At 34.1% G+C, this 14,298-nt stretch overlaps 1 protein-coding gene across 2 annotated transcripts in view, besides 2 other annotated features; it reads right to left on the bottom strand.

Annotated features, from left to right (window-relative positions):
• The window catches only part of LAMA2 (laminin subunit alpha 2), a 633,429-nt gene that overhangs the window by 331,443 nt on the left and 287,688 nt on the right, over nucleotides 1–14,298 (bottom strand). For both annotated transcript variants that reach the window (NM_000426.4, NM_001079823.2), the window contains exon 10: nucleotides 7,258–7,418. In NM_000426.4, coding sequence (NP_000417.3) covers nucleotides 7,258–7,418 — 161 coding nt within the window. The remainder of the gene's footprint in view (nucleotides 1–7,257; nucleotides 7,419–14,298) is intronic.
• Nucleotides 11,629–12,342: an enhancer, noted in NCBI's record as "NANOG-H3K27ac-H3K4me1 hESC enhancer chr6:129493927-129494640 (GRCh37/hg19 assembly coordinates)". NCBI's record gives its function as "activates a minimal SCP1, AML or CMV promoter by ChIP-STARR-seq in primed H9 embryonic stem cells {active_cell/tissue: H9 hESC(primed)}" and the evidence as "EXISTENCE:reporter gene assay evidence [ECO:0000049][PMID:30033119]".
• Nucleotides 12,343–13,057: an enhancer, noted in NCBI's record as "NANOG-H3K27ac-H3K4me1 hESC enhancer chr6:129493212-129493926 (GRCh37/hg19 assembly coordinates)". NCBI's record gives its function as "activates a minimal SCP1, AML or CMV promoter by ChIP-STARR-seq in primed H9 embryonic stem cells {active_cell/tissue: H9 hESC(primed)}" and the evidence as "EXISTENCE:reporter gene assay evidence [ECO:0000049][PMID:30033119]".

The following is a 14,298-nucleotide window of genomic DNA, read 5'->3' as shown; positions in this document are numbered from 1 at the left end:
TTTTGTGTGATAATTGCTTCAGGAATTTCTCAGTCATGCTTGGTTTTTTGGTAGTTTGTAGTTAATTACAGGTTTTCTTCTGTTATGACCTTTAGACTAATGCATCCTAGTATTAAAATAAGTTAACAAAAGAAGGATAATTAGTTAATTAGCAGTATTTGTTGAGGACTTACTCCTAAAACACACTTTTCCAAGGCTAGATAATAGTTGATGGGTTAGGGAGGGAGAAGGAAATACATAAACATTAGTTCTCAATTTTCACAAGTTCAGCTTTTAATATTGTGAAAGAGAACCAGAGCTGGACAGTAGTTAAAACGATGAAAATAGGCTTCAGTGAGAAACTATGGCAATAGAGAAAAAGCAACCTTAGTAAAGAACTAGCCTCCATTCCCAATACAACATGAACAAGTAGGGATTCAGTGCCAAGGAAAAGGGTAGAGATTTATAGCCACGAGCAAGGATCAGGGGCGAACAATCATTAAGAGGAGACATCAGGGGTAGGTAGGGGGGATTCTTGCTAAACCAAATTAACAGGATTCTTGTTGAAGACAGGCCAGAGGGATCAGATATCAAGGGTAAGGTGTTCTTAACACACTGACTTAGCAGAATTCTTGCTTTAACCAAGCTAGGTTTGAGGACAAGGGTCAACGATGAGGCCTCATCAAAAAGAGGACTCAGAGAAGACTTTCCAAAATTTGGTCAAGGAGAGAGTCTGTCCATGTAAAAAATTGACTAACATAATATTATTTGAACTGTAGGGGTTGCAAGAGATAAATTCATTCATGCATGAACCTTTTATGCCAAAAATTCTACATCTGTAATTTAGATTCAGGATTAAATGTACACATTGAAGTCCATTTGTAAAAATGCCCAGGAATCAAGTCTACAAGTTAATGAAGTGACCATTCCTGTACACAAATGAAAAAGAAGAGGGAAATCCAAAACCAATAAAAATGTTAACACACCATAAAAATCCTTTCAGGGAAAAAGAACAGAAACTTATCTCTACTTGGGAAAAGCAATATAAACAACAACAAAAAGTAATCCAGTAGGTATTTATGGTTATACTTTATACTTGTACAGGGCTTCAGTGTGATAATTATACCTACTGAGAGGCAGAAAAGATTCAATAACACCATTTCATAGATTATAAAACAGAATCGGAAAGGCTAAATGACTGTCAAAGCTTCACGAGATTTTAGTTCTCTTCCTTCCTTCTTTCTTTTGTATGAGTCATTGTGTTATCTTCTTATTGTGCAATGGTAAAGAAAATATATAGGGTCCATATCATCACCAGAGGTAAGATAGACATAAAACAGAATTACTCATTATGAGATCATAAAAGAAAAGAAAAAGGTTTGAAAAGTGATTATGCCATGAGAATGATATGACTTGAGGATGCAGGGGCAGCTTTCCTGAGAAAGTTGAAGTTAAGCCGAGCCATTAAAAATGCCTGGCTAAGCAAAGGAATAGGGCTAGAAATGAGGTATCCCAAGAAATCTGAATAGAACTTATAAAATTCCAGATGCTACAAACAACTAAGAGACTCAAGAAATTTAAGCAAAGCTGAAAAACAGTGACTGAAACTCAAGAACATTCTGGAGAGGTAAGCCAAGGCCAGATCACATAGTCTCGTGGGCCTGTAAGGACTTAATGGAAAATGCAATAAAAACAAAGCAAAACAAGATGAAAATACAGACTTTGATTTCTAGTCTTCTACTTCACTATTTATCTTTCTATTATAAGACTTTGATAAAAATAAAAGCACATGTTCCTAACTAGATCAATGTCAATTTATATTATGTGTGAGATTCTACATACCAACTGATTTTGCATAAATAATATGACACCAAACTGCAAAAGAGCCAATTTCTAGCATATGGTACTTGAAATAAACAAATACTGAGAGTCAGACAGCACTTATAGTCAATGACTTGTCATATATCTGAGATTGACTTGCCTCTTGTAATTCGTGAGAGAAATTTCAACATTTTTAACAATGCAAAAATATTATAAACATTTGAGTGTCTTGAGCTAGCACTGCTTTCACATTTTGAAATATAATGATGATAATATTCATTAACATCATTGTTGAAGAGAAAATCTTATGTGTAAAATGTAATAATGTAGTTGACATTGTATTAAAAATTTCATTCTCCTCTTTTTAAATCTGGAATTCTTTTTTACATTCAATTAAAGAAATTTTAAATTAGAAATTATATTAAGACATTCAAAAAGCACATATAACATGCATTACCCATGCAACCTAGAGGTAACAAAATATTTATATTTTATATTTGCCTCAGATATATTTTTAAAGCAATGATACTTAGATACAAATGAATCTCATTTCACTTCTGTTTTATTCCCTTTCCTGTTTCTCTAGAGGTAACTACTATTCTGAAATTAGTACTTACCCTACAAGTGTATTTAAATTTTTTAATTATAATATATGTATTCACAAACAATGTAGCATTGTTTTATGTTTTACAACTTGATATAAATAATACCATAATGACATTGTTTTTTCCACCTGAAGTTTCTGAAATTTATCATGGTTTATACATGAAGATCTATTTCAACCACTTTAACTGTTTCTTTTATCAGATTAAAGGAAACACTACAATTTATTTTTGCTATTTATTTTTCTCATTTTCATCATAGTAAGTACATTTACGTTGAGCACATTTTAGATGGTTTTTCTCTATACATTGTAAGAGTTTTTTGGGGTAAATGTTTGGATGTGGAATTGCTGGTTGACAGGGTTTTATCACCTTCAAAGATACTAGATAATACCATATTGCCCTCCTAAATTGTGGTACTAATTAACTCTATTAATAGAAATGGTAAACATTTCAAATTTCACAGATTTTCACTGGTACTTGGTGATCCTCAGCTGTCTCCTCATTTAGAATTTTATGTTCTTCAATAACCTTTAAAAATTATCTCAATTTTACAAACACTTATTTTTAGGTATCATGAAGTTTTTCTTGCTATTCTAAGTATTTTTATTACATTTTTTATTTGCTTGTCACTGACATATAGAAATACTACTGCTTTTTATAGATTGATTCTTCTGGACTATAATCTAGTGAAACTGTCTTATGGGTTCAATATTCTTACTAAAGGACATATATTATTTAATATTCTTTCCATGAAGTTGGACTGTGAGTGGTAAACACTCACAATAAAGATATTTGCCCCCAGTTTTAATATTTTTCTCTTTGTCTTGCTGGTTGACAGGTTTTCTACTAGGGGTAGACTTATTTTTTATCATCCTCAAACTGAGGATTTATAATAGTTTTTAACTCATGATCATTCTTCTCTCCTTCATTATTTTTTTGAATATTGTTTCCCTCAACTTCTTCTAATCTCTTCTTTGGCAACTTCTGCTAAACTTCTGTTCAATTTTACAATTCTGTGAGTCAGTTAGCATCATATTTATTTACTTCCCTATGTCAATTTATAGGTAATTTTTTCAGGCCTATATTTCTGATTTTCTATCCTGCAGTTTCTCATCTCTTGTTTAACCCAATCATTGAATTTTTAATTTCAATGACTGCATATTTTTTTCATTTCTGGAAGTAAATTATACATGTTTCTTTTCCAAACCTGGTTACTTTTGAATTTTAATATAGCGTCTATTTTATATTACTTTTTTCTATTCCTTCTTTGTTTATTCTTCAATCTTCTAATCATGCTTTTATAATTGTACATTTTAAACATATTTTTATGATTTATGTGATAAGAATATGATCACAGATTTTTATGAATACAAATTTATTTCAGACTACCCTTTCTAGTTCTTTGTGTACAAATATCCTCATTTTTGTGGCTACTGGTTTCCTTTTGTAGTTATTTTCCTTTTGTGTACTTTACTTGCTTTGTGATGAGATCATTTTCAGTTGAGGCTGTATTATTTTTCCTATGGGAATATCATTTCCTTGACTTGTTGAAGAATGCCAGCACATAAGGGGAGAATAAAAATGTATCCCATTCCCACGTGGCACACAGGTTTGGGGATTCGGTCCTACACAAGGTAGTAACTTTTACCCACCCAGAGCCCCTAAGAGAAAAATTTTCTAGCTGCCTCTGTAGGCTTGCAGGAAGAATTTTCTAGCCCCCATTTCACTGTCTGAAAGCATTTCTAGTGTCCCTGCTTCAGGGAGTTCAGCTGCAATTTCCGTCTGTGGGTCCAAATCCTAGTGTCAAGTCCTAGTGAGGGCATTAAAACTCCAAACTTTAGCCCTGATCTTAGAACTAAGACTTGTCTCCCACCCTCCACCCCATGACCCCAGTTGCTCAGTTTAGCTTGAGCTTTTGCTTATGCTTAACTTAGATTTCCCTCTTTGGTCTGACATCTAGGAATTTCCCTTTCTTTCTTGAATCTAAATGTTTATAAATCTATTTGCTATGTTTATGCAGCATATCTGTATTTTTAAAATAGCAAAAGTGGGAGAAGTGATGTCCATATCAGCTCAGTATGTCATTTTACCCACAGGAAAAATAATACAGCCTCAACTGAAATGGGCTCATCACAGAGCAGTCATTTAAAATTTATAAAACAAAAAACAATTAGGCCCAAGACTTCCTAATGAAGCTCTTTTTAAAAATGTCTTCACACTTCAGTAAGATATTTCTTTCTGATAAAAAAAAACTATTTAAAAACTCATATGTTATAGTATAAGAGAATAAAGGTACAAATGTTTAAGGTTAATAAGCATTTTGGAGATGAATACTTATATACACATTATTTCATATGTGATTTATATTATTTCTATTTACAGATAAATACTTATTTAAAGTTACTAACTTGGATAGAAATATATGGACACTTATGTATATATTCTTCCCCTTCTGCTAAAAACCTGTCATTTAATTTGAATTTATATCTCCAATATTTTAGTCTTTCAATAAAATTTTGCTTCTTAAGCAGCATTTTGATCCATGCTGTTTTTACAATCAGTTGACATATCTATGTCAAATCATGTTTTTGTGAAACAGTATGAACTGTTACATTAAGTGTCTTTTCAGTATTTAAATACACTACACTAAGTGTCTTTTCAGTATTTAAATACACTACACTAAGTGTCTTTTCAGTATTTAAATTGTATGCATATTTTGTTGAAATGCTAGGTTATTAATTATTTTTTAAACAAGAGACTGTAGGCACTTAATTGTAGTACATTGCATGCACATTTTGATATAACTCATCGTGGCATATTGTGATATTATTGTGATATATAATTCTGTGATGTAATTCATGTTATATGCATATAATTTGTGATTTTTATAATTATGTAGATGTTTTATGAAACTTGCTTTCTGCAAGTTTTTAATCCTGAAACAATTTAGTTTATAAGAACTTACAGTTTTCTATTTAAGATATCACATGGTAGAAAGGCATTTATTTTAATAATGCTATTTACTTAATTTTCATTCTCTTTTATGATTTCTTAATTGCTGTTTATTGTTGCATTTTAATTGTCTGTGTAGAGCTTCAAGTGTCTACACAGGAGGCATCTTTCTTATTAGGATTATAATAATTCTCAGTACAATATTGAGTTCGGCTGAGAGCAGGCAGTAAGTAGCTCAAGGGGCTTTCCCTTGGAGCCCTGCTAATCACTACAGCTCTCTTGCTCCAGCCTTTCTCGCTATATTTACCAAAGAAAATTAACTCGCTTATTACTCCCTTTCCTTGCAAATACCAGACATCACCACTGTATGAGTGGTAGGTGTAGAAAAGCACTTGTTTTTCTTCCCTGTTTGATTTTATATATTCTAGAAACTCAGGAGGTTTCTTTTCCATTTTAAGCTTAGTTTTGACTGTCCTTTATTTGAGCAAGTGGTAAAGGTTAGAGATTTCTGTGGAGTTTTGAAAAGAGAATAAAGCACACACAAGACATGTTTTGATAAATACTAGAGAAGATGCACTAAGAGCCTGCAGGATTGCCCACAGAGACATACAAGATGGAGAGGGGAGGTGTCCTTAAGCAAGCAATCACTCACACACTGCTACACAATCTTGGTCAACTCAAGCAATTTTTCATTTCAGATAATATTGGAATGAAATGTAATAGATTAGAAAATTTACTACATTCCAGGACATGGCAACTTTTTACTATGGGCTTGTGGACTTTTCTGCTTACTGTGTCCACAGGAGTTTTATTATTTCAGTAGTTCAAAATAGGAACCTAAATTGCCCCTGATGTAACATATACCTATTATGTAACTATTATTATTATATTTAGCTTGATATTTCCAGACATTCTTGTCCCAATTCATAAACACTTCATTAAAACTAATATTTACTACTTATATTATGGCTTAATGGTTGTATATGTACACATATGCTCACATGTACCAAATATAACTATATAATATTTTATAGCTGCCAAGATAAGACTAACAGGTTAATAAAAATATTTTTAATAAGGGTCCCTCTTTAATTGAAAATAAAGAAAAAAGTAGTAACTTTCATTTTTACATAAGTATGGTATGCTAACTTTTTCAAAGAATGGTTCATTCTCTCAGCTAATGTAGTTATACACCGTCTGGTCAGAATGTTATAGAACTCATTACTATAGGTAAAGTAAATCAGTCTTTTCATTTTTCACTTGTGCATGCCTGTATGCTTCATAATGTTTATAAGCTGCAGAGGTAATGCATCCCTTGGTGTTAACATGATTTGTTATTAGGTGAGCATGTACAACAAATAAAGTTGCATTTCTAAAAGTAATCTTGGAAGAAAATATTGAGCCTTTAATTAATTCCATTAGGGCTTTGTACTTTTTTATAATTGAACAGAAAAATTTGAATATAATGAGTATTTTAAGGCTTATCTGGGTTCAAACTTTAGAAGATTATTTAAAAATTCAGAATAAAACCCTTGACAGAATTCATTACTGAATTAGATGCAAAGGTAGATTTGAATGCACTTTAGTTTTAAAGGGTTGCTATTTCTAGTGCCGTATATTTTTAAATTAACACACTAGTTGGGCAATGGGGTGAAAGTGTTTTTGTTATAAAATAACAAGCCTTTAAACGTGGTTTATCCTCCGTGCATTTGTAGGCTTTTAGATAAGTGCCTTATAAACATCCTGCTACAGTGAACCTGGTGGGTCACCACACGTAGAATAGATTATGGATACTTCCAGAAGTCATTAAAATTGCTTAATGCCAAGGAAATCAACAGAGAAGCCAAGAAAAATAACCTTCTGTCTTGACAGTGGGACATTACTGGAATAAACAATGTACCTTGCAGATACAGGGGCCAAAACAAGGATCCTCATTTTTGCTCCCTAACCCACTGCAGTTACAGGCTTTGCAGTCCGGGTAGCCAGTGTAGCCCCTGGCACACCGATCACAGCTCACACCTCCAAAACCAGTTTTGCAATGACAGGATCCAGGTGCCAAACCTAAAGAAAGATGAGCCACATATCAACATTTCTAAAACAAGTACATAATTTAGTTGTTAAAGTTTTAATGACAGTAACCTTTAAAATGCTATTTTGACACAAAAATAGATTTTTTATATATATCAATAAAGAAAAGTTAAAACCAAAGAGTAGAGGGTTTAATTAAAAGCTTTCTATGATTACGTGAACATAGCATCTTCTAAGTGTCAATAGAAATATTAAAAATGTAAACAAGAAAGATGAAATCTCAAAGCATCTACCAAACTATGGCTATAGAAAACAATGACCAAGGAGAAATTTCCACAAACGCTAATGCTGATGATGCTACATTGAGAAGAATAAGCAGTAACAAATGCAAAACTAGTGGCTCACGGAACAAGCCTGCTCCACCAGACTATTACAGGTGCAAAGTAGCCTTGGGAATAAAGACATATTACTTAAAATAACAGTTTAACAATGATACTCTAAGAACATGCCACTGGCAGTATTACTAAAGAAAATAAAGGTGTTCATTGGAATTGATATTTTGGGGATAAGAAGCAATAGATGAGGGGAATGAAAAGTTTAAATTTACTTTTTTAACATACAGAAATACAAAACACAATGTTTATTCATGTCTTTGATTAAAAAATAGAAATAATACAGGATGAATGAATACAACTAACAGACCTTCAAAATCTGGAGAAAGATAAAAGCAAATCAGTAATATATATAGTCCATCAGAAAGAAGAAAGGAGGAGGGAAAAAAAGGCAAGGAAACATTAGGGAGAGAAAGCAAAAAGCAGAATGACAGAATTAGTGTCAGAAATGCATACTAAATACATACTAATGAGTTAAGCAGTCTTACTGTTCTTATTAAAAACATAAACATGTAATGTGCACAAGAGATAAACAAAATGAACAGGAATATTGCAAATAAAATATTACAAGTAAAAGAAAATGAATGTGTGTCAAGAAAGCGTATGGAAAAGAAAAAAAAGTTGTGAAATATTAAATAGGGCCAAAGTAGAACTCAAATAAACTAGGTTCAGTAAGGCAAGCTCTCATTTTACATTGATAAAAATATAATAAAAACATGATTTAAATTATTATGTTTATGCTTCAAATAAGCACTAATTATCAGTACAAAAATATGTGGACAACAAAATATATTGGAAATAAAAACTTTAAAAGTCAATGGCTGAAAATGATGCTAACTTACTCATCTTAAGTATTTACAGATGAAGTAAGAAAAAACAGAAAATTTGAATAATCTAATAATATCAAATTACATATTATGTGGTATATAACTAAATATTTACCATAGTTTGTGATTGACTATAAAAAATACTCAATTATCAAAGCAGAAATTATCTAAGGCTTATTTTCTTAACATAAATTACTACTTTTAGATGTGTATCAAATGCCACAAAAATTAAGATTAAATTAGTTCTGAATATCAAACATGATGAGAGAATTTTATGCAAAATTCAACTGTTCTAAAAATTAATGCCTAAATATTTCTCTTTAATAACTCTTGGGTTAAAGAGAAAATCAAGACTTCAATTAAAAATAAATAGCTATCTAGGTAGAATATAATAGCAGTAAAAAAGGAACTTAATTTTTGTTGAGTATGGAAAAACTGTACCCAAAAGTAAACTTATAGGCTTAAATAGTCCATTATTTTAAAAATAGATAAATTAAAATTTAATTCATTTAAGTATAAAAAAGAGAAAATATAAACACCACAGGAAGTAAAGAGATTTGAAAAAAAGAAAAGCAAGCAAAAGGAAACGGTAAACAAAGCTAATCAAGGGTATCAAAAGAGGACAAATTATCAAAGAACTACCACAAACATGTTTTAATGATAGTTAATTTTTTTTATTATTATACTTTAAGTTCTGGAATACATGTGCAGAACATCCAGGTTTGTCACATAGGTATGCACGTGCCATGGTGGTTTGCTGCAGCCATCGACCTGTCATCTACATTAGGTATTTCTCCTAATGCTGTTCCTCCCCTAGACCCCCACCCACTGACAGGCCCTGGCATGTGATGTTCCCCTGTCTGTGTTCATGTGTTCTCATTGTTCAACTCCCACTTACGAGTAAGAACATGCGGTGTTTGGTTTTCTGTAATGCTAGTTAATTTTTACAGACTGTTTTCAAAACTTGAAACTCTTATGGTCATATAAAAATGGAGAGCTATGTAATTCAATTTATGAAGCAAATTCTAACTTGATACCCAAATGCAAATGATAACCCCAAATAAACAAAACTTCTAAGACTCAAATAGCACTTATCTTATGGTAGTCATTATACTTAGCATTACACAAAACACAGGGGTTAATTCAGTTAGTACTCAAAACATCTATATGAGATAGACACTATTATTTTTCCTGTTTCACAGATGAGGTAACTAAGGCATGGAGAAATTAAGTGATTTGCCAAAGGAGCACAACTGGTGGGTGTCTGAGTCACAGGCAATTAACTTATGAATCCAGATGAGCAAAACACCAAACTGAATCCTAAAGTACATTAAAAGGATCCTCTATGATGTCCAAGTAGAACATACTCTGGTAAAATAAATATTGTTTGATATTAGTAAGTTCGTTTCTAATAGATTACCCAATAGACCAAATGGGAAATAAATCTGATAATTTTAATAAAGTTTGCAAAGGCATTAAATAGTTTAACATTATTTCTGATGTTAAAATTTCCAGAAATTGAGGCTAAATGTAGAAGTACTTCATGTATTAAACAATGTCTATCTTAACTTTTATTTCTGGAAGTATTGTAGACTAGATGTCCAAAAAACCCCTCCTGTTCAGAACAGTTGAAGATACAGAATAAAATTAAACGTAGAAAAATAGATAGGTAGGTAGGTAGGTAGGTAGGTAGATAGATCGAAAGACAGATGGCAGATAACAGAATCGTTGCGCTGGCAAGAAATAAAGAAACCCCTTGGAGATGAGAAACTACAAAATTGACTTCTAGAAAGCTTACGTCATTCTTTAAAACAATGTCTTTCCTGGAGTTGACTGGCAAATTCTGATGACTAGACTACAGTTCAGGGAGCATGGTTTTACAGAAGAACAACAAAAAATTCTAGGTCCTATATAAGGTAGGTCATTATCACATAACTTCATGTAAATTCAAGGCTTCTGAAAGAATAAACTAAGAAATACATATGCACGCATACATCCACAAAACACACACATACACACACACACACACACACACTTACGAAACATAAGAAAATGAAGTCCATATGAATAAGAGTTAGAAGAGAAATAAAAATGCAGACTCAGACTCAATAACAGAGTGCTTCTAACAGATTCCGAAAATAAAATAAATATATTTAATATGTCTAAAGAGCTGAAAGTAATATTAAATGTAGATGAGTAAAAAAGAGTATTGGAAAACAAAATGTAGTTTGAAAATTTCCTTATGAAATATAACAAAATAAATTCTAGATGGAATAAAAAATTAAGTATTATAAAATGAAATCATACAAATGAAGAAAACAAATACATTTTTCTAATCTTGGGATAGATGAGAGTTCTAGGATTATAAAGCATGTAAGAAATACACAAAAAAATCAAAATATATAATAATCATGGGTTGGTATCATTATTATAAGTAAAGAATTTTACCTGAACTTTGACAGCTGATTACATAAAATTTTTGAAGTTTGTGCACTAGAAATTATCAACAGTAGTGAGACACAAAGCAAATCTGAAAACTGATTATTAAAAAATGATATACTATCACTGTTTTTAATATTTAAAGTGCTCTTACAAATCTACAAGGGAGAAAACTTCCTTCTACTAAAAGAAAATGAAGAAAACTAAAAGAAAAATCAGAGAAGAAATACATCGTATTTCCCTCGTAATCAAATGAATGCCAGTAATACACTAAAATATCCTTTTCTACTATCTGGTTATGTAATCTGATGAAGAAGTGCAAACCATGAGACCACATCTTACACTCTTTCCTAAATAAGTTATCAGAGCAAGCATGAAGATAAAAATGACCTACAAATATGTGTCCAATTTTGCAATTCGAGCCTGTATCAAATAATATGTATCTAATTACAGTATTACAATCTTGATTATTATATTTCTATTTTTGAATTATAAGCATTAATTATTGGTCCAGAGCTGAATGTAACTGTGAAAATCTTTGAAAAGATTTCAAAGATATGTAATTGACAGACACTGACAAGTGGTGAAGAATGTAGGGATGATAGTCTTTATCACATCTTATATAGTAGGACCTCAAGAGAAAGTCTAAATGTAGTCATTGATGAAATAGACATGTAAGCTCTCTTGAACATGATAAAGATATCGTAGAAGAAACACATAATAAAAATGTATGGATGGTGGAATGAAGGAGGGAGGTGTTGTGAATGATACATTTCTTCACCTTTCAAGACGGAGAGTCAATAGGCAATATGTAATGGTGATAAAAGTACTGATAAGAATATTATTTAGATACTAAAGGTAACTCACTAAAAAACTGAATCGGGGAGAGGAGCCAACATGGCCCAATAGGAACAGCTCCGGTCTACAGCTCCCAGCGTGAGCGACGCAGAAGACGGTGATTTCTGCATTTCCATCTGAGGTACCGGGTTCATCTCACTAGGGAATGCCAGACAGTGGGCGCAGGTCAGTGGGTGCGCGCACCCTGCGCGAGCCGAAGCAGGGCGAGGCATTGCCTCACTTGGGAAGCGCAAGGGGTCAGGGAGTTCCCTTTCCGAGTCACAGAAAGGGGTGACGGACGGCACCTGGAAAATCGGGTCACTCCCACCGGAATACTGCGCTTTTCCGACGGGCTTAAAAAACGGTGAACCATGAGATTATATCCTGCACCTGGCTTGGAGGGTCCTACGCCCATGGAGTCTCGCTGATTGCTAGCACAGCAGTCTGAGATCAAACTGCAAGGCAGCAGCGAGGCTGGGGGAGGGGCGCCGCCATTGCCCAGGCTTGATTAGGTAAACAAAGCAGCTGGGAAGCTCCAACTGGGTGGAGCCCACCACAGCTCAAGGAGGCCTGCCTGCCTCTGTAGGCTCCACCTCTGGGGGCAGGGCACAGACAAACAAAAAGACAGCAGTAACCTCTGCAGACTTAAATGTCCCTCTGACAGCTTTGAAGAGAGCAGTGGTTCTCCCAGCACGCAGCTGGAGATCTAAGAACGGGCAGACTGCCTCCTCAAGTGGGTCCCTGACCCCTGACCCCTGAGCAGCGTAACTGGGAGGCACCCCCCAGCAGGGGCACACTGACACCTCACACGGCAGGGTATTGCAACAGACCTGCAGCTGAGGTTCCTGTCTGTTAGAAGGAAAACTAACAAACAGAAAGGACATCCACACGAAAAACCCATCTGTACATCACCATCATCAAAGACCAAAAGTAGATAAAACCACAAAGATGGGGAAAAAACAGAACAGAAAAACTGGAAACTCTAAAAAGCAGAGTGCCTCTCCTCCTCCAAAGGAACGCAGTTCCTCACCAGCAACGGAACAAAGCTGGATGGAGAACGACTTTGACGAGCTGAGAGAAGAAGGCTTCAGACGATCAAATTACTCTGAGCTACGGGAGGACATTCAAACCAAAGGCAAAGAAGTTGAAAACTTTGAAAAAAATGTAGAAGAATGTATAACTAGAATAACCAATACAGAGAAGTGCTTAAAGGAGCTGATGGAGCTGAAAACCAAGGCTCGAGAACTACGTGAAGAATGCAGAAGCCTCAGGAGCCGATGCGATCAACTGGAAGAAAGGGTATCAGCAATGGAAGATGAAATGAATGAAATGAAGTGAGAAGGGAAGTTTAGAGAAAAAAGAATAAAAAGAAATGAGCAAAGCCTCCAAGAAATATGGGACTATGTGAAAAGACCAAATCTACGTCTGATTGGTGTACCTGAAAGTGATGGGGAGAATGGAACCAAGTTGGAAAACACTCTGCAGGATATTATCCAGGAGAACTTCCCCAATCTAGCAAGGCAGGCCAACGTTCAGATTCAGGAAATACAGAGAACGCCACAAAGATACTCCTCGAGAAGAGCAACTCCAAGACACATAATTGTCAGATTCACCAAAGCTGAAATGAAGGAAAAAATGTTAAGGGCAGCCAGAGAGAAAGGTCGGGTTACCCTCAAAGGGAAGCCCATCAGACTAACAGCAGATCGCTCGGCAGAAACTCTACAAGCCGGAAGAGAGTGGGGGCCAATATTCAACATTCTTAAAGAAAAGAATTTTCAACCCAGAATTTCATATCCAGCCAAACTAAGCTTCATAAGCGAAGGAGAAATAAAATACTTTACAGACAAGCAAATGCTGAGAGATTTTGTCACCACCAGTCCTGCCCTAAAAGAGCTCCTGAAGGAAGCACTAAACATGGAAAGGAACAACCAGTACCAGCCACTGCAAAAGCATGCCAAATTGTAAAGACCATCGATGCTAGGAAGAAACTGCATCAACTAACGAGCAAAATAACCAGCTAACATCATCATGACAGGATCAAATTCACACATAACAATATTAACTTTAAATGTAAATGGACTAAATGCTCCAATTAAAAGACACAGACTGGCAAATTGGATAAAGAGTCAAGACCCATCAGTGTTCCGTATTCAGGAAACCCATCTCATGTGCAGAGACACACATAGGCTCAAAATAAAAGGATGGAGGAAGATCTACCAAGCAAATGGAAAACAAAAAAAGGCAGGGGTTGCAATCCTAGTCTCTGATAAAACAGACTTTAAACCAACAAACATCAAAAGAGACAAAGAAGGCCATTACATAATGGTAAAGGGATCAATTCAACAAGAAGAGCTAACTATCCTAAATATATATGCACCCAATACAGGAGCACCCAGATTCATAAAGCAAGTCCTGAGT

Source organism: Homo sapiens, chromosome 6 (genome assembly GCF_000001405.40).
Source record: "Homo sapiens chromosome 6, GRCh38.p14 Primary Assembly".
NCBI lineage: Eukaryota > Metazoa > Chordata > Mammalia > Primates > Hominidae > Homo > Homo sapiens.
Note: the sequence above shows the minus strand (reverse complement) of the source record. Positions and strands in the feature narration are given on the sequence as shown.